Genomic DNA, 20,703 nt, shown 5'->3' with positions numbered 1-20,703 from the left:
TCAACATCACAAGATTGCCAAACAATATACACTCCGTATTTCAGAGACTTTCTGCTTGCCTCCTGTCTTAAGCCATTTCAGAAATCAGCAAATATCTTGAGAGGGAAATTGATCTTGTATGGGATCAGTTCACTGCTTCTCCCTTCTCCCCGGGACCTTGGCCCCTCAACCTCTACATTGTGTCTTTCTAGCCCTGCAGGACAGCCAAAAATTCTGCCTCTTATTAGTAGCCCTTCTGTCCAGACCCTTTGCCTCAGTTCTCACCCCATACCCATAGTGGGCAAATGCCTCGAGGGGGAAAGTGGCTATAGAATGTCAACTAACCTCTGTGATTCCCTCTTCTCTAGGATTTTGGCCCCTCAAGTCTTGGCGGCCTCTGAAGTTCTCTCTATATGAGAGAAGTTTATATAAAGATAAAGGTTTCTTATGTCTTTACAGGTTTTCTAGTTGTTCTTGGAAGATAAGTAGTCTAATTTGAGCTACTTCATTACCTTCAGGAGTATACTTTTAAATTTCCAGATATATAAAGTTTTTTATTTCCCATTTTGTTAGTAATTTCTAACTTCATAACATTATGTTGTCAGAGATTTCCTTGCAATCTGTTGAGACTTGCTTATGGCCTAGTACAAGATTTTTTTTTTAATGTAAATACCCAATGTGTGCTTGAAAAGAACACACATTCTCTCATTGCTAAATGCAGAAATCTGTATATGCCCATTAGGCCAAGCTTTTTAAAATGTCTTTTTTTCAAATCACTTAATTTACATAAGTTATTGCACACATGAAAGTTTGAATAGCTCATCTTTCAGTCTGGTATAAAAGAAAGGATCCAGAGGTCAGAAAACAGTAAGAATTTTTGGTCTAATAATGAATCGCTAACAATTGCTTCCATTCCTAAATTATTGTGTTGCCTTAGGGGAATTTGATGAACAAGGTTGGCAGCCAATTTAAATTTTAAAAAACACTTTTCAAGTATATCTTGACACATCCAGCAACACTTTTAATTATTAGAAACCTCCATTTCTGTCTCTGTTGGATATTCATAAAATACTTCTAAACCATCTAATTGATTTTGTTTTAAATGTTGAGCCCAAAATTTAGTCTTTCAATTACTTTCATGAAGCTTTAACTGCTCCTGTAGGCATGGTAATATAGTAAGCCCCACATTGCTCTATTGAAACCATTCTGCTTGCCAAAGTCAGAACTGTAACAACAACCTTAAATAGGAAAATTGTCTGTGACATTACATTGTCACAACTCACCATGTTTTATCTTCTGCTGTTACTATACAGCTGATCCATTAAGCAATGACAGAGCCTCACCCAGGTTGTGCTTGAGAATGGCCTGCAAATATAAGAATGTATTCACTTGCACAGTTTTAGACAAGTATATGAGTGCTAGCCTAAATTGTTTGAAATATTAGTGTAACAGCCCACCTGCATAAGTTAATGAGACTTCCACCAGAATTTTAAATATATGCAGAGCTCTAGTCCAAAGTTTACATAAACCATGCAACATACAATAAAGTACCAACTGGTAGTGGTTTCCATTTGCTACATTTTGGTATATAATACATTTGAATCTGTTGTTTCTATTGTCTTTTTAATCAACTTTATTGAGGTATAATTAAAATGCAATAAAATATACCCATTTTAAGAATATATTTTGATTAGTGTTCTAAATAATTAAAAATTAGGCCAGGTAGGGTGGCTCGTGCCTATAATCCCAACTCTTTGGAAGACCAAGGTGGCTTGCTTGAGCCCAGGAGTTCGAGACCAGCCTAGGCCAAATGGTGAGATCTTGTCTCTACAAACAAAAAATTAGCCAGACATAGTGGTGTGTACCTGTAGTCCCAGCTACTTGGAGGTTGAGGTGGGAGGATCACTTGAGCCTGGGAGGTGAAGGCTGCAGTGAGCTGTGATGGCACACTGCACTCCAGTCTGGGTGACAGAGCGAGACTGAGTCTCAAAAAAAATCAATGTTAAAAATGATGTTTTAGATTCTAATCTTCAGCATTTCCATTGAATCTAATCTTTTTCATCTTAAAAATATCCTCCCTGAGATTGGCATGACCAGGTGTTTTGAAATATCACAAATCTATAATTAAACAGTTTGGTACTGGAGCATTGTATTAGTTTGCTAGAGCTCCCCTACTAGAGTACCACAAACTGGGAGAAATGTATTGTCTCACAGCCCTGGAAGCTAGAAGTATGAAAGCAAGGTGTTGGTAGGGTCATGTGCCCTGTGAAGCCTTTAGGGAAAGGATCCTTTTTTGCCCCTTTCTAGCTTTTGGTGGTTGGCCAGCAATCTTCGGTGTCCCCAGGTTTATACAGGAATCACCCCAGTCCTCGGCTTTATATGGCTGTCTTCCCTCTGTGCATGTCTGTCTCTGTGTCCAAATTTCCCGTTTTTATAAGGACGCCAGCCATATTGGATTAGAGCCCACCTAATGACCTTACTTTAATTTGATTACCTCTAGAGAGACCCTATTTTCAAATAAGTTCAGTTACTGCAGTATTGGGGGTCAAGACTTTAACATATGTCTTTTGGGGGACATATTTCAACCCATAACAACCACAAACGGCAGAATGGATAAAATCCTACCAGAAATTGACCCGAATACACACACACAAAAATAAAATCTTATAAATGTGGCATTTCAAACCAGGTGAGAAAAAATTGATTACTTAATACACGGTGTTTGAACAGTCAGGTAGCCATCTGTTGTGTCGGCAATGGACTATTGTACCAAGACTTGATGCCTTGCACCTTGTATGCTTTCCAGGTCCTGATTTTTGTCCCTAGGGAGGCCTCGCTGTCCTTAGGTTCTACAGAATACTCCTGCGTCCTTCCAGAAAATTTACCGTTTTGAAAGGACTGGATTGAGTTGGGTTTTGTAGCTTGCAACTATTTTAAGGGCTGATGGCCTTCTAACTGGACATTCTTTCTCCTAGTGAGAAATGTATATGTTCTTCATAAAAAAGCTTTTCTTACTGTCAGCCTGCCTCCTTCCCAATTCCATCTGGTTTCTCACCTCTACCTGGAAGTAGGCTGTTTGAAGTAAATTGGTTACTTCTGCATCTTTCATCATTCTGGGCCTCCCAGGAGAAGTGATCAGTCAAAGCAGAAGCTGTCCGTTGAGGGCCACTAGGAAGTCTGTGAAGCCAGCTAAGATCGCTGCTATTTTAAAAGCCAGACATCAAAGTATTTGGATGGAATCCAGCGTTTCCTGCCTCACTGCAACCTCCTTCCAGAAGAGAATCAAAATGTGGGGAAGAGGGAAAACTGCTCTAATTGAACCCCTAATTCCCAAAACTGCTATTGGACTCCTTGCTACAGAAAGGGGACTCCTTGGAACTGAGCTTATGAAAATATTTTTCTGAAAACCGATGAGACCAAGGGCAGTGCTAAAACCAGACAAAGTGTACATCAGGCCAGAGGCTCTAGTTCTCTTCCAGGCTTCCTCTCACATTGCCCAGTTTTGCTTTTCAAAGAGTAACAGTAATTCCCATCAATTATGTATCTTGCACATATACAAAAAGACTCACATGATTACATTATTTAATTCTTGCAACAGCCCCATAAGGTAGTTCAATTACTATTCTCATTTTCCAAATGAGGAAACTGAGTCTCAAGGAGTTTAGCTAAGTTGCCCAAGGCCACACATTTAGGAAGTGACATAGATCAGATTTGAACAGAAGGCTTGGCTGATTCCAGAGTCTGTGCTCTTAACCTCTACTCTGTAAGCCCCAAACCAAAATATCTAAAGACACCAGGGGACATAGACATGAGTGATGCAGACCAGGGTAGACGGTAGGGGGTGGCAGGAGGTAGAAAGGGGTAGGAGAACAGCAACCTGGAGAGCTTGGGCCCCATCTGCAGAAGGCAGCCTCTTTGCAGCAACAACCAGGCTGCCCTGTGGGAATGTGAGCCCAGCATGGCCAGATTTTTCCACAGGAGAACCTTGAAATCTGGATTTTATATAGAATCTTCCAACTTTTGGGTGTTGACTACTGATTCAATACTGATGTATAAGTATATATACTTATATCTATTATATGTATTTATTTATATTTATATAATTTGTTTACGTATTATATAAACATATATATGTTATATATATAACATATATAATATATTATATAACATATATACTTATATAATATGTAAACATAAATTATATAAATATATGTTATATATATATAAAATATATATATAGTGCAAGTTAAAAAATAGGCATCTACAGCCCACCGTTAGACAGGAACTCTTATTTCCCACTCCCCATGCTTCCCATGGGAGGAACTTTAGCTAGACTACCCCCACTTCTCATCTTTTGCCTCAGATTGGTGAGTTTTGGAGAAAGAACTGGGCATCCTCAACTTATCTCCTTCCTCCTAGAGAGGCAGCCTGCCCATGGAGGGTGCATGGTCCCTGCTTCCCTGGAAGGGAAAGTCTGTCTATTTAGGGATGAGGCACCCACAAACCCACTTCCTTGCAAACAGAAAACCATGTTCTCCAAACTGCCTGGCTGGTGCATTACTCTTCTGTGGCTACTGTAACAAAGCACCACAAAATGGGTGGCTTAAAACAACAGAAATTTATTCTCCCACAGTTCTGGAGCCTAAAAGTCCAAAATTGAGGTCCCAGCAGGCTCATGCTCCCTCTGAAGGCGCTGGGGAAGATCCTTCCTCATCAACTCCAGCTTCCAGTGACTCTGGCAATCCTTGACATCCCTAAGCTTGCAGCTGCATCACTCCAGTCTCTGTCTTAACCAGGTGTTCTCTCTGTGTGTCTCTGTGTCTGTCTTCCCTTCTTATAAAAACACTAGTCATTGCATTAGGGCCCACCCTAATCCAGAATGACCTTGTCTTAACTGATTACATCTGCAAAGACCCTATTTCCAAATAAGGTCACATTCTGAGGTTCTAGCAGATATGATTTAGGGGCTATTCAAATCAATAGAATTGTTTTCACTTTCCCTTCTTAAGATGTGACATTTTAATCTCCACCTGTCTGATTCCCACATCTGTCTCTACACTGGTTCCAACTGGGAGAGTAAGAAAGGACCTTTGTTTCTTTATCTCCAAAAACCCCAGCAGCCATATTCGACATGAATGCCACCAATCTGCAACCTCTCAACTGCTCATTTCTTTCATCTCTCCTTTTTTCTCTTCTTCCCTCTCATTTCCTCTTCTCTCTCTTTCTTTGTGTTATTAACCACTCCTTTGCCAGTTAGATCTCTGCTGTATGCTGCCTTGCTATAGCGGAAAGGCTTTGAAGTTGTACAGACCTGGGTTCAAGACCCATCGCACAACCTACCAGTCCTTACGGCCTGACTCTTTGTAGATGTTCAGTAAAGGTGTGGGCTGAACCTGCCAATGGATGAGAGGCCTTGAGGCAAGTGCATTGCTCTCCTGTATCTCAGTTTCCTCTTTTGAAACATGGCAGTGTTAACAAACATCAAAGGGTATCTCTGTGCTTAGTGAAAAAGACTATGAAATAAATGGTTCTGTATGAGTGGGATCAAGGAGATAGGAGTGTCATATGGTGAAATTTTGCAGATGTTAGGAGAATTCACAGCAGCTCAGCATAGTAAACAGAGCAGCCCTAGAGGCCTTCCAAGCTGAGCTCCAACATCGGGAGCTACTCCTGCCCATAGCATCTCAGCAGAGCCTGGCTTCCTTCCCTCTCCCTCTCCCTCTCCATCTCCCTCTCCCTGTCTCCCCTGTCCCACCACATTTCCATTGCCTAATTGCCCACCCCACAACCCCCACTCCCACACATAGGCCATAGCCTCGTGGATTTCCAGCTATAAAGATCTAAGTGCTTGATACGATGTGGATGCTTATCTCCTCCAAATTTCATGTCAAAGAGTAATGTCCAATGTTTGAGGTGGGGCCTGGTGGGAGGTCTTTGGGTCATGGGGGCAGATAGCTCGTGAATGGCTTGGTGCCATCTCCTCATGATAGTGAGTGAGCTCTGGCGAGATCTGGCACTTTAAAAGTGTGTGACACCTCTCTACCCTCTTTCTTGCTTCTCCTCTCATCAGGTGACCTGCTCCCACCTTGTCTTCCGCCATGGTTGTAAGCTTTCTGAGGTCACGCCAGAAGCAGGTGCTGGAGCCATCCTAGTAGAGCCTGCAGAACCATGGGACAATTAAACCTCTTTTCTTTAAAAATTACCTAGTCTCAGCTACTTCTTTAGAGCAACGCAAAGAACGGCCTAATATGGTGCTATTGTGCTGAGTACTTCATACACTCCTGAGAAACAATTTGACTCTTCACCAAAGCCTTTGAAGCTGGAATAGGTGTGTGTTGCTGTCACATAAAATTCCAGATTGTTTGTTGTTATCGTTGTTGTTTTTAGAGACAAGGTCTCACTCTGTTGCCCAGACTGGAGTGCAGTCGCTAGATCATAGCTCACTGCAGCCTGGAACTCCCAGGCTTAAGCAATCCTCCCACCTCAGCCTCCTGAGTAGCTGGGACCACAGGTGCACACCACAATGCCCAGCTAAGTTTTACATTTTTGTAGAGACAGGGTCTCACTATATTGCCACCAGGCTGGTCTTGAATTCCTGGGCCCACTCGATCCTTCTGCCTCAGCCTCCCAAAGTGCTGGGATTACAGGTGTGAGCCACTGCACTTGGCCTCTACATTGTTTTTAAAAGTGATTTTTCTGGCCGGGCACCGGGGCTTGCACCTGTAATACCAGCACTTTTGAGAGGCCAAGGCAGAAGGATGACTTGAGCCCAGGAGTTTGAGACCAGCCTGGGCAACATGGTGAGACCCCATCTGCACAAAAATTTAAAAATTAGCTGGGCATGGTGGTGCATGCCTGTGGTCCCAGCTACTTGGGAGGCTGAGGCGGGAGGATTGCTTGAGCCTGGGAGTTTGAGGCTGCAGTGAGCTATGATCATGCCACTGCACTCCAGCTGGGCAACAGAATCAGACCCTGTCTCTAAATAAATAAATAAAAGTGATTCTTCTTCACTGAGACATGAACAAGAAAAAATGGAAATAATAGCAACCAGCACGAGGGCCTGAAGGAAGAGCAAAAAAGAATGGGCAGGAGATCCATTGGGGAGTTCCTGCAGAGGGGGAGCACTTTGCTTCTGGGGCTCCATGAGAGTCCATGCATGTCTCTGTGATGATTCCATCTTGGCTTCTGCGGGGCCAGGGCAGGCCTCCCGGAAAAGGTGTCAGCTGAGCCTGAGGATGCCTCTGCCATAGCGGGGTGAGCCGAGCATCCCAGGCAAAGAGAGAGGATTGTTTAAAGGTTTGGTGACAAGAAATCGCATAGCCTCCAAGCCACTCACAATGACTGAAGCATTGTGGAGGGAAAGGCCAAGTGGTGAGAAGTGGGATTTGGAAAGGGCAGTGGACATGTGTCATGTTGGGACCATCCCTCTTATACTGGAGAAAGTACGGCATTATGAGTCCCTCCCTCCTCTCCAGGGGAGAGGGCCAAAACTCCACCTGGCAGCCACCCTTGCAGCTGGAGCAGCCATGTGACATAGACTCCATCAAATAGATGCATGTATTCCAAGCACACAAAGTGAGGATAGGGGTGCTAGAAGGAGTGGGGCATTGGTGCGATGGCAGAGCCTCAGCTATGCAATCCCAGAATCATGAGTGGGAAAAGCAGGGTCTGTGCTGAGCACAGCGGCAGCAGCAGCAACAGTGGGGTCTTCACTGGGGCGGTCCTGTGGGATGGGTTGGGTCTTGCTTCTGGCTGAAATAGCCTCAGAGCCTGACACTCTCTGCCTTCCTTCTCCCTCACCCCCGAGATTCTTGCACTTTCTAATATCCTTTCAAACATGCATTTTTCTGCTAAAATTGGTTAAAATGGATTCTGCTGTTTCAACAAGAGCCCTGTTACAGTAATCAGTATCAGGAGTGGTCTGAGGCAGCCAAACACTCAAGGAAATGAAAATTAAGGATGAATTTTCTGGCATGGTTGGATCTCAAGTCAAGAGAATACAGTTAAAAAAGAGGATCAGGCTCTGACAGTGCATGTTCTTATGTGCGTAAATCCAGCCTCTGCACTATCACTGGGATGTCTGGAAACAAAATGTCCCTGGAAGGTAAAGCTTTAGGGAACCCCATAGCCATCGTCCTCAACAGTGTGATGAGCATGCAGAATTCAAGGACCATGAGTGGTAGTGGTCAGAGGACGATGGTCTCCACTTCTTCATGCTTCTCCAAAAGGAGTATGCATCCTTGTCACAAAGGGATCACGCATGCATCCTGAGCCTGCAACTTCCCAGTGCTTCCCAGTAGGGTAAGCGGCTTTATCACCCTTATCCCATTAATGGTCTGACTCAAAGAAAACATTTAAAAACAGAATGTGGGCCGGGCAGTGGCTCATGCCTATAATCCAAGCACTTTGGGAAGCTGAGGGAGGCAGATCACGAGGTCAGGAGTTCAAGACCAGCCAGACCAACATGATGAAACCCTGTCTCTACTAAAAATACAAAAAAATTAGCTGGGCGTGGTGGCGCGCACCTGTAATCCCAGCTGCTCAGGAGGCTAAGGCAGAAGAATCGCTTGAACCCTGGAGGCGGAGGTTGCAGTGAACGAAGATGGCACCACTGCACCCTAGCCTGGGCAACAGAGAGAGACTCTGTCTAAAAAAAAAAAAAAAAAAAAAAAAAAAACCAGACAGTGTAGGCAACCCTTTGAGGAGCTTTGCTGTAAAGGGAAACAGAGAACAGAGCCCTAGCTGGAGGGGTCATTTTCATGGCCTTGGTCTTGAGAATCACCAATAAAGATGTAACTCTACTTCACCTGGAGGAAGACCGTGGTGATGCTAACTCTTCTTCTCAGCTCCGGCTCCACCCTTTTTCCACCCCTCTCATTCACTTTTTTGCTGGGGAAGAAGAAAGATCTCTGGTTGGAAATTTTGGGAGCAGCCGGTGGTGTGCAGGTAAATGTTCAACAATTGGTTCTCTGGGGCAAAAGTTTCAATTTGCAGCATTTGATAACTTCTGTAGTGTAAAGATACCCATTTCAGCAGGGCTGAAATGTCGGTACCAAGCTACCGACAAGGTAGCTGAGAAGGTCACTGAACCTGGAGCTGAGATATGCACAAGCCGGTGCTAGCCAACTCTGCTGAGAGTAGGCATTGCACCAGGATAGCCCAGCCCCTTTACTCCCTTTCTCCTTGGGAGCTGACTGCCTGCAGGAAATACACATTCTCCTCCCCATGCCCTACCACCACACACACACACACACACACTGAGGGTCTTCCGGGCATAGTCCTGTGTGTGCAGAGGCCCAGGGTGGCCCCACACTGCTGGTGGCTGGGTATTTCTAACTCTGGGGTTCGGTAGTAGGAAATCTGCTTACCCACAGAAAAAAAAGGCACAATCTCCAAAAATCAGCTTCATCAGCAACAAAGGTGACATCTTGCTCTTCCATTTGCCTTACTCTTTTGTCCTATTTCTCAACTCGTTCAGAACTTGGCAAGGAAGAGTAATATTTTCTTGGGCCTCTTCACATTCCAACAGAAGGAAGAGAAAGGAAAGTATTCCTACAGGTGCGAGGGCATTAAAATCATTTTGTCTCCAAATTAAATTCTCTAGCAGTAAACAGGCATACATGGAAAATCCCAAGCTGTTGCCTAGAGGGTTAACCTTGTTATAGTATAATAATCTCTATAGTTTTAATTTCTCTGTGGCTTTAAGGATTAAATGAGATACTATATAGGAAGGATCTAACACAGGCCTGGCCTAAATAGTAAGTGCTCAATAAGTGTTTGCTGAATTTTCCTCTAAATCTTGCATGATGAATTTTCCTCTAAGTCAACATCTTGCACTGCTCTTTTTCAAGTTGTGGAGGAGAAATTAAGCAACTTGTTTTCTGTTTTTTCAAGTTGGCATTTCATGTTGAAGCCTTCACTGAATGAGTTATCATTTCTTGGGCCTTTGGGCGTTGCTCTCAAAACCAATAAATAACTCAATTAGGCTGCACGTGGTGACTCACGCCTGTAATCCCAGCACTTTGGGAGGCTGAGACAGGAGGATCACTTGAGCCCAGGAGTTTAAGACCAGCCTGGGCAACATAGTGAGAACTTGTCTCTACAAAAGAATAAAAATAGCCAGGTGTGGTGGCATGTGCCTGTAGTCCCAGCTACTTGGGAGCCTGAGACAGGAGGATTACTTGAACCCAGGAGTTGGAGACTGCAGTGGGCTATGATCATGCCACTGCATTCCAGCCTGGGTGACAAAGTGAGTCCGCGTCGGAAAGACAGAAAGAAAGAAAAAGAAAGAAGGAAAGAAAAGAAAAGAGAAAAAGAGAAGAGAAGAGAAAGGAAGGAAGGAAGGAAAGAAGGAAGGAAGGAAGGAAAGGGGAGGGAGAGAGAGAGAGAGAAAGAAAGAAAGAAGAAAAAGAAAAAGAAAGAAACAAAAAAGAAAGAAGCAAAAAGAAAAAGAGAAGGAAGGAAGGAAGGAAGGAAAGAAGGAAACAAATAAATCTGGGGCTTCTAATGCCATCAGTAAGTTAAATGAGCATGGATGAGATTCCATTCTATGCTCAGCAGAAAGGTAAATGGCAATGAATTACATGACAACCTCCACTGTGCCCTGTGTGCACCTCCACAGCATCAATGTTAGAGAGAACTGGTGCTTTTAGGTGAAGGACACGTGGGGGCAGCTGCCTGTTTTCCATGAAGCAGCCTGTGCTGTCACTGCACTACTCATCTTCAAATTAGAGTCCGCACCAAGCTCGACTTTCCATGGAGCACCCAGTGACCTAGCCATTCCCTAGAAGGTTATTTCATATTTCATCGGCTTTCTATGCACTGGCTTCTAGTGCTCTATTTGTTAAAAAAATAATAATAATCAATCCCCAAAATGTACTCCCTCCCACCCCCAATAATTTCCATTCATATTGGACTTGATTATTTAAATTTAATTTGTTAGAAGTTCAATATTTTATTTTGCATGATTAGCCTTTTAATCAAGTTGTGAGAGTTCAAAAATATTCACACTATTGCATTTCTTTTTATTGGTTTGGGGGTTTTTTTGTTTTTGTTTTTGTTTTTTTTGCTTTTTTGGAGTTTGTTTGTTTGTTTGAGAGAGGGTCTCACTCTGTCCCCCAGGCTGCAGTGCAATGGTCCAATCTTGGCTCACTGCAGCCTCAACCTCCCAGACTCAGAAGATCCTCTCGCTTCAGCCTCCCTGGTAGCTAGGACTACAGGTGCACACCACCAGACCCGGCTAATTTTTCGCCATGTTGCCAAGGCTGGTCTCAAATTCCTAGGCGACCCACCTGCCTCAGCTTCCCAGAGTGTTGAGATTACAGGCGTGAGCCACCACACCCAGCCTATTGCATTTCTTAACACAATACGTATACTTTATTTTTTTAAATGCAATGTTGTCCTAGTCCTTGCAGGCTGCTATAACACAGTATCATAGACTGGGTGGCTTACAAATAACAAAAAAACATATTTCTCACAGTCCTGGAGCCTGAGAAGTTCAAGATCAAGGAACTGGCAGATTCAATGTCTGGTGAGGGCCCCTTTCCGGGTTCACAGAGGACAACTTCTTGCTGTGTCCTCACTTGGTAGAAGGGATGACCAAGCTCCTTCAGGCCTCTTTCCTAAGGGCCTGAATCCCTATGACCTAATCACTTCCCAAAGGCCCCACCTCTGAATACCATCGAGTTCGTGGTTAGGATTTCAACACATGAATTGGGGTGGCGGGGAGCACACAAGCATTCAGACCATAGCAAATGTAAAGAATTTGTCTACAAGAAAATCCACACATTGGTCATGCTCTCGTCTTCATCTGTGTCCCTGATTCTTTCATTTCTGTTGGCATCCAGCAGCATGATGGACTTTGTATGGAAGTGCTGAGCAAGAGGCCAGCACTTCAAACAGTGCAAGACACTTAGGGGCTCAGGGCGTAGATGCATGAGGAAATGAGCAGCTTAATAAGCTACATGGATAGCTGTGGGTGCCAGCCCAGTTCCTCATCCCCACTGCTCATGCTCAGACCTGGGAAAATGTGGGGAAGATATATGGGGACCCTGGTTACCTCTAGACAGCTGCATCCTAATATAAATACTCAATCTGCCCATTTACTCTTCCTTCCCCTCTCCCAGGATCTCCCCAGTACACTCAAGAGTGAAATGGGCTATGGGCTGACCTTCCATTAGCCTCTGGAGAAATGAAGACTTATGCCCTGACTTAAGAAGTGTCTAGAAAACTATGAATACATAAGCATAGCTCATTGTTTGATATAGTGTATATTTTGTCATGCAAGTGATTGATGCCTGTTGAAAATGAGAGTAGCTCAAGTGTAAACAAGGATCCACATGGCCCATGGCAATGTCTTCATCACAGAACCAATCCTGTAACACTAACAATGACGATGAGGTTAGGGGACACTCGCTATGTGCCAGGCCCTCTCTAACCATCCTCCCTGCATTAATTCATGTGATTCTCACACTTCTCTAAGAAGTAGGAACTATTTTTCTCTAGTTCTTGATTCTCTTATTTGTAAAATGGAAAGAATATTTGTTTCCATTTTATTTTAATTTATTTATTTATTTATTTATTTATTTATTTATTTATTTATTTCCTGAGACAGGGTCTCACTCTGTCCAGCAGGCTGGAGTGCAGTGGCACGATCACAGCTCGCTGCAGCCTTGACCTCCCTGGACTCCCATCTCAGCCTCCCAAGTAGCTGGGACTACAGGCGTGCGCCACCATGCCTGGCTAATGTTTTTGTATTTTTTGGAGATGGGGTTTCACCATGTTGCTCAGGCTATTTGTTCCCATTTTATAGGACATTTTAAATTTTTTTTTTTTTTTTTTTGAGACAGAGTCTTGCTTTGTCGCCCAGGCTGGAGTGCAGTGGCGCGATCTCGGCTCACTGCAAGCTCTGCCTCCCGGGTTCATGCCATTCTCCTGCCTCAGCCTCCCGATTAGCTGGGACTACAGGCGTCCGCCACCACGTCCGGCTAATTTTTTGTATTTTTTAGTAGAGATGGGGTTTCACCATGTTAGCCAGGATGGTCTCGATCTCCTGACCTCGTGATCCGCCTGCCTCGGCCTCCCAAAGTGCTGGGATTACAGGCGTGAGCCACCGTGCCCGGCCAGGACATTTTAAATCTTATGTAATAGGATTTTTGTAGAAATTTAATGAGTTCATACATGCCATGTAGTAAGCACTTGATATGTATTCGTTTTTAATATTTTATTATTGATACTGTCTCCATTTTACAGGTTAAGAAACCGAGACGCAGAGAAGTTAAGTAAATTGCCCAAGTTACACAGCTAGTAAGTGGCAAAGCCAGAACATAAACTTCCTGCTATTATGAAGACACTGCTGAATCCTGCAATCCATGAATATCTGTGTTAAGGAAAGTGAGAGATGGATTACTCCTGCCAATAATAAAGGGGGGAAAACAAAGCTGCTATTAGAAGATGAGTCCACCAGGGGGAAGTAGATGCATGCATTACTTAGGCATGACGCTAGCCCGGGGAATTTTTTTTAAGACGTTAAATATTAAAAGTTTAATCACCGATTTTACGCCAATGGTGAAGGAAGAACTTGATTCAAATTATTTTCCTATTACCTGAAAGTGCAGAGGATTAAAAATGACCACGCACGTAAAATTGACAGGTAAACTGTCAAGTAAATGAAAGGGCTTCCCCCAACAAGCCGGAGATAAATGGTGGTTGTTCACTCCCGCGAGCCTGACCCTGTGTTAGCGCTGGGGATCAGGAGGACAGGCATGAAGTTCACTGAACAGCGAGAGGCAAAGACCCACCACACCACTCCCCCACTCTCCACTCACCCTGATTCTGTGTTAAAAGGTGAATGAGATGGTCTGGGCCAAAGCGTGCAGGCTTGGTCTCCAGTGCTGGCAACAGACAGGGAAAGAAGTCAGTGGGCTCAGTGCACATGTGAAGCAAATGAATGAAACTGAATTTGGAAAACAGAGTGACAAGTGTTATCTTGGGGCGGATATGCCACGAAGTATAGGAGTGCAGGAGAGGGAGGGAGCGGTCCTGCCTAGAGATGACATCAGAAACCAGCTTTTACAAATGCAGAACAGCTGGCCGGTCAGATGGAAGGAAGTGGAAAATAGTCCAGAAGAAATACTCTGGACAATGGTTTCGGAACATGGAAGGTCCTCATGCCTTTGGAAAATAATAAGAAAAAGGATTGACTGTGGAATGAGTCAGAAAGAAGGAGAGATTAGCTCTCCCTGTTCACGCCACCCACCCTGCCCCCAAGTAAGAATACAGTCAAGACGGGCAGTAGAATAATCATTTTCTTTGGGGGAAGGGGGCTTATATACTTCTGATTACAAAAGCCTCATTTTAAACATTTTGGAAAAATACATAAGGAATTTGCATTTCATCACAAACAGAAAGCCAGTATTTCCTGTCTCTCTTATAGATATACTATATTTGTGTGTATATATGTACATGTGTATACAAATATACATATATGTACGTGTGTATATATACATATATGTACATGTGTGTATATATGTACATGTGTATACATATATATGTACATGTGTATATATATGTACATGTGTATACATATATATGTACACATGTATACATATATACACACATTCATATATATCTGGGATAATTCTATACAAAATTTAATATCTTTGTTTTGTGAAATAGACAATGCACATTTTCCCATTAAATTACGCATAAAAGTATAATTTTGATGACTCTACAATATTCCTTTGTATAGCTGATTCATAATTTTTAAGCAGCCCTTTATTGTTGGACACTATATGGTTTCCAACTCCCCTTTACTATAAGCAACTTTGATGAACATTCCTTTTGTAAGTCTCTACATCTCATTATACACACACACACACACACACACACACACACACACACTTTTTTTGAGACAGGGTCGCCCAGGCTGGAGTGCAGTGACGCGAGCATGGCTCACTGCAGCCTCGACCTCCCAGGCTCAAGCAATCCTCCCACCTTAGCCTCCTGAGTAGCTGGAACTACAGATAAGAGCCACCACACCAGGCTACTTTTTGTATTTTTTGTAGAGACCAGGTTTTCCCATGTTGCCCAGGCTGGTCTCAAATTCCTGAGCTCAAGTGATCTGCCCGCCTCGGCCTCTCAAAGTGCTGGGATTACATGAATGAGCCAACGCACCTGGCCTTAAATGTTCTTGATTCAAATTGCCAAACTGCTCTCTAGAAAGGTTTTAGTAATTGAAACTTCCAAGCAAAGATGAGAGTGACCATTTGGCCACATTCATGCCAAGGCTGCGAATTATCATATTTAGTATCTTGTCACTCAAAAAAATACTTATTAGGCATTTACTAGGTGGTAGGCTCTGGGCTGGGTGCTGAGATACAGCAATGAGCAAGTGAGATAAGGAATTCCTGCTTCCTGGAGTTTCCATTCTTGTGCAGGAGGCTGTCAGTAAACAAGGGAAATCAGTAAAGTATGCAGCATGTTCATTGTAAATGCTAATGAGAAAAATAAATCTAGCAATAACAACTGGAAGTGTTGGGTGAAAGGGGCGTGAATTTTAGATGGGGTGGGCAGAGAAGGGCTTACTGGGGAGATATGAGTAAAGTGCTAAATAGGGAGATGGCGTGCAAATATCTGGAGGACAAGATTGCAGACATGAGGGATCGGCAAGTGAGAAGGTGTGAGATGAGAGCCTGGTTGGCAAGTTCGAGGTAAAGCAAAATCAGTGTGGCCGAAGAAAGGCAGAGAGGAGAAGAGTAATGTGTGTAAGTGATGTCAGAGGAGTAACCGAAATCAGAAGGGGAGGAGGAGATAGATGTGTTATGGAGGACCGTGTGGAATTCAACTTTCCCTGGAAGAGAAGGGGAGCACTGGAGGGTTTGACTTGGAATTTAACAAGATCCCTCTCGCTGCTGTGTTCAGAACAGGCTGAGGTGGGCTAAGGAACGAAGGAGGCTAGTGCCGTAATCTAGGATGGAGATGATGGTGGCAATGGAATAGACGTGATGGGGATGGTGAGAAGAGATTGAAATCTAGAGACGTGAAGGTGGCACGTGCACCTACAGGATTTGCTGATTCGGGGATGGGGGAGAGCTAAGAAAGAGTCAGGGTGAGTCCCAGCTTTTTGACCTGAGCAGCTTGGAGAATGAAGTTGCCATTTACTAAGTTGGAGAAGTTGGCAAAGGAACAAAACAGAACAGGGGTAGAGGGTGGAGATCAAGACCTCAGATATGAGCTTATTAATATGAGATACGGTTTAAGACATCCTAGTAGAGACACCAAGTAGACAGTTGGATAGAGGACTGAAGCTTAGGGAGAGGTCAAGGCTGAGGGCACACAGGAATTAACAGCACATAGAATGGACAGAAAAGAGGATCTGTCCAAAGATGAAGGCTGTGGGCACGCCTGTGTTCAGAGGTTTGGATGCCAGAAGGAATCAGCAAAGGATACTGAGGACGAGCAGACAGAGAGGCAAGAAAACAATCAAGAGAATGCGGTGACCCAGAAGCCAAGTGGAGAAGTCTCAGGGAGGCTGGAGGGATCAGGATTAAGATGAAGACTAAGAATTGACCATTAGATTAGCAATAAGGAGGCCACTGGTGCCCATGAGAACCAGTCTTAGTGGAATGAGAGGAGCAAAGACCTGACTGGAGTAGGTTCAAGAGAGAAAGTGGAGACAGTGATTATAGACTAATCTTATTAGGAGCTCTGATGGCAAAGGAAGGAGAGAAAGGGGCATTTGATCGAGAGACGGTTCTTTTTTTAGGACGGGAGAAATAAAATAATGTTTGTATGATGATGGAAATAATCCTGTAGGCGGGAAGAACTGGTTGGAGAATTGTTGGGGCAAAGTGCTTGGTTGGGTGCAAGAGGATGGGATGCAATGCGGGAAAGGGGGAGCAATGGTACCCATCGTGGGGGAAGCTCGATTGTTTCTTTTTTTTTTTTTTTTTTTTTTTTTTTTTTTTTTTGAGACGGAGTCTCGCTGTCGCCCAGGCTGGAGTGCAGTGGCGCAATCTCGGCTCACTGCAGGCTCCGCCCCCTGGGGTTCACGCCATTCTCCTGCCTCAGCCTCCGGAGTAGCTGGGACTACAGGGGCCCGCCACCTCGCCCGGCTAATTTTTTGTATTTTTAGTAGAGACAGGGTTTCACCGTGTTAGCCAGGATGGTCTCGATCTCCTGACCTCGTGATCCGCCCGCCTCGGCCTCCCAAAGTGCTGGGATTACAGGCGTGAGCCACCGCGCCCGGCCGATTGTTTCTACATTGTTTCTACATTGTTAGTGAGATAGGAAGCAAGGGTGACAGCTGAGAGTGAGGATGAGAGGATGTGTTGGAGGTTTGAGGAAAAGCTAGAAGATAGGAAATAGTCATCTAAGGAAAGAAAGAATGAATGGGCTCAGGAAATAGAGGGTGGTGCCCCGGCAGCATTATGGACCCACTGGAAGTCCCTGTCTGTGTGGTTGTCTATGCAGCCATATCACCAGGGCACATGCATGCAGTGACATGGCTTCAACCAGGGTTGTAGTCAGGCAAGTGATTACAAAAGAGAGGGAGGCAAAGGAGGGATGACACTGAGCGACCTTGGTGTTTAAGCTGAGGAAGGAGGGACAGGAAAGGCTAGCAGTGAAAACAGCAATGAGTGGCCCCCAAGGCCAAAAGATGGCTGGAGTCAGAGATGGAAAGAGAGGAGATAGCGGCCGGAGTGTGGGATCTTAGAAACTGCCCTTGAGAGAAGCTGTAGTTATGGATAATAACGCTGGGTGTCAGGATGGGAGCAGATGTCAGGGGCTTGGTGGAGAACAAGTTCACTGGAGAAGGGAAAGGTCAAAGAGCTGGGAGGCCAGGGCACCGCATGGTTCCTGCATGTGGGTGTGGAAATCATCAAGGAATCATGTCGGTCACAGTGACCAAGAACAGAAGTCCTCATGGACCAGCAGCCCCCGCGGTCCAGCTGACAGCCACAGGAGGGCAGTGGGCAGTTTCAATTGATGGGTGAAAACTGTCTCTCATTTTTTATTCCCAATCATTTGACTTTAATGACACTCAATTCCCTCCTATGACTCATGGCCATTTATATTCCTTTTACAAATTGTCTTTTTAGTTCCTTTGTTAGTAAGTCTCTTAGGCCCTTCATCTAAGAGCTCTTTACAAAGCACATTACCTCTTTGTCCGTCACAAACGTTCCCTTGTTTCCCAGCCATTTGCCTTTTATATGTTTCCAGGCTTTATATATATATATATATATATATATATATATATATATATATATATATATATATATATATACACACACACACATACACAGATGTTCTCGTGTTTTTCCATCATCAGGTCTACCAATATTTTACTTTATAAAATCAGCCTCATGTGCCATTCACATAAATCTGTTTCCCAATGGTCAGATAGAACCATTCACCAATATTTTCTTCAGTTTTATGGTTTTATCGTTTATGTTCAAATCCACTCAATTGTATTTATAGGATAGTACGTAATATGTGGCATTTCTCCATGTAACTATTTAACTATTTCCAGCACCATTTAAAAAAATAACTTTCTTTACATTCCAATGTATGACATAATCATATGCAAAATTTATACTTATAGTATATGTATGTGCTTCCTCTTCTGTTCCATCCATCTATCCATTCCTGTCCCAGTCTTCCTCTGGCTATTGTGGGTATATTAAAGCTCTGATATTCAGTAAGGTATGTTCTGCTTGTCACTTCCACTCTCTCAATTGACATATTTTATGGCTGTAACTACACTAAAGCTATTATATAGACAGAAAATAATTTGTTCCTAAAGGATACAATCTCTTTATATCACTCCCTCACAAGAAATACCACCTTTAGGGAAAGAATTAGGAAGTTCAGGTTATAGATTTCATTCTTTGCTCCAAACAGAACCTACATCAGTTATAAAAATATACCTAAGCCAACAGTTATAACAGACCTAAATAGGAGAGAGTTTCTGTTAATAGACTATCTGCCTAATACAAAATTAATATCCCCAGACTCTCTTCTCTGCTCCCATTGGCTCCATTTCTATGGGAATCTGTGCTTGTGAGAGTATGATTATTCTACCCATTTGCTAAATACCTCATTCAGCACTCTTTGCATGTGCTTTCGAGGACACCAGACTCTCCTTGGTTTTCTCTGTCTTTTTCTGGCTACTTCAGCACTGACACTTCATCTTCCAGAGTCTAAACACTGAGTGGCCAGACCTAGCTCTTCAAACTCTTCTCCATCTACTCACTCTGCTGGAGGTCCCAGCAGCCCTATGGCTGCAAATATTCTTTACCTAATTGATAGCCAAATATACACCCATGCATGCACACCAAAAAATGATACCTCAGCTCTGACCTCTCTCCTGATATCTTGCCTTCCTATTCTATGCTTCCCCTTTAAAGTCAAAGATGCATCTCAAACTTAATGTGTCCAAGTCACCTGACCACGCCCCATACCTACTCCTCCCACAGTCTTCACCATCTCAGCAAATGGCAACCTTATTCTCCTAGCGGTTCAGCCAAGATCTTTGTATTACTCCTTAATTCTTTTTCCACTCTTGCACCCCATAGCTAACACATCAACAAATTCTGTCCACTCGATCTTCAAAATCTATCCAGAATCTGACCACTTCCAATACTGTCACCCTGTTCCAAAGTCTTGTCCTCCTTCCTATTCTAACAGCCTCCCAAGGGATCCCCCTGCTCCCATCCTCACCCGACACCTGACAAACTTGGTTCGAGCTTAGATCACATGACTCCTCTCCTCCAAACCACTCAAGGGCTGGATGATTTCCCAAGGTGAAAGCCACCCGGGAAATACATCTGATGGTCTACAAGAGATCAGATCTTCCTCCAAATCTCCCTCCCAGCAGCCCTTTGACCTCTCCTATTACTCTCCTATTTGCAATCTTTGCCCTGCCACACCAAATTCTTGGCTCTTCTGCAAATAAGCCAGACACACTCTTGCATAAGGCATTTTAACCTGTCCTTCTTGGAACATCTTCTGCTGGATACCTGCAGGGGTGGCTACTTCTCCTTCAGGTCTTTGCCTTCACAGGACATCTTTCCAGGGAGTAATTCCCTGATCATTCTGTTTAAGATGAAAATTGCAATGCCCACCTTCCCAGCTGGCTATTTCCTCTTCTCTGGTATTATTGTAACAATTACATATATATTATTTATTCATTTGCTATGCCTTCCCTCTGTAGAACATAACCCCAGGATGACAGGAACTTTTTTCTGATTTGTTCACTGTTGCATCTCAAATCTCTAAAACAATGCCAGGCATATAACAGATACTCAGGGAAAATTGTTGGTGAAAGATATGAATAAATGAATTCTGCTAACCATCTTAGAAGAGAATTAGAATTCATTTTATCCCATTGAAAATTTCTGAGGTACAGAAAAGCCAACTAACTTCCCAAAGGCCCTAAAAATAATTCCAAAGATACTGCTGCTCTTAAGAGAGATGACACTGTAGATGCCCAAAAGGTCTGTGTCTGGGGAGAAAGTCACAAATTATTTCACTTTTACACAAATACAAGGCCTTTTCTTCACGGTGGGTCCCTGAGGCTTGACTACAAGAATAAAAAAGAATATACAAAGACCCTGCCTTCTAAGGAGTCTGCAGTATTTTAATATTAAATATTTGGAGAAGAAGCAAATTATATAATTGAGTACTACATTATCTAAGTGTCAGAGACTTCACTAATGGAGA

At 43.5% G+C, this 20,703-nt stretch overlaps 1 long non-coding RNA gene across 6 annotated transcripts in view; it reads right to left on the bottom strand.

The window, feature by feature from the left end:
• LOC105369957 (uncharacterized) overlaps nucleotides 1-20,703 on the bottom strand; it is a 40,769-nt gene that overhangs the window by 15,907 nt on the left and 4,159 nt on the right. The window contains exons 1-3 of one of the 6 annotated variants that reach the window (XR_945299.3): nucleotides 13,806-14,471; nucleotides 8,787-8,868; nucleotides 1,263-1,344 (exon numbers count right to left, since the gene is read on the bottom strand). This is a non-coding gene — a long non-coding RNA (uncharacterized LOC105369957). Of the gene's footprint in view, nucleotides 1-1,262; nucleotides 4,031-8,786; nucleotides 12,535-13,805; nucleotides 18,224-20,703 lie in introns of those variants that run through there. The other 5 variants (XR_945300.3, XR_007063437.1, XR_001749297.2 and 2 more) reach the window with 5 other exon arrangements.

Source organism: Homo sapiens, chromosome 12 (genome assembly GCF_000001405.40).
Source record: "Homo sapiens chromosome 12, GRCh38.p14 Primary Assembly".
Taxonomy (NCBI): domain Eukaryota; kingdom Metazoa; phylum Chordata; class Mammalia; order Primates; family Hominidae; genus Homo; species Homo sapiens.
The sequence above is the reverse complement of the archived record's forward strand: the minus strand, read 5'-3'. Positions and strand labels throughout refer to the sequence as shown.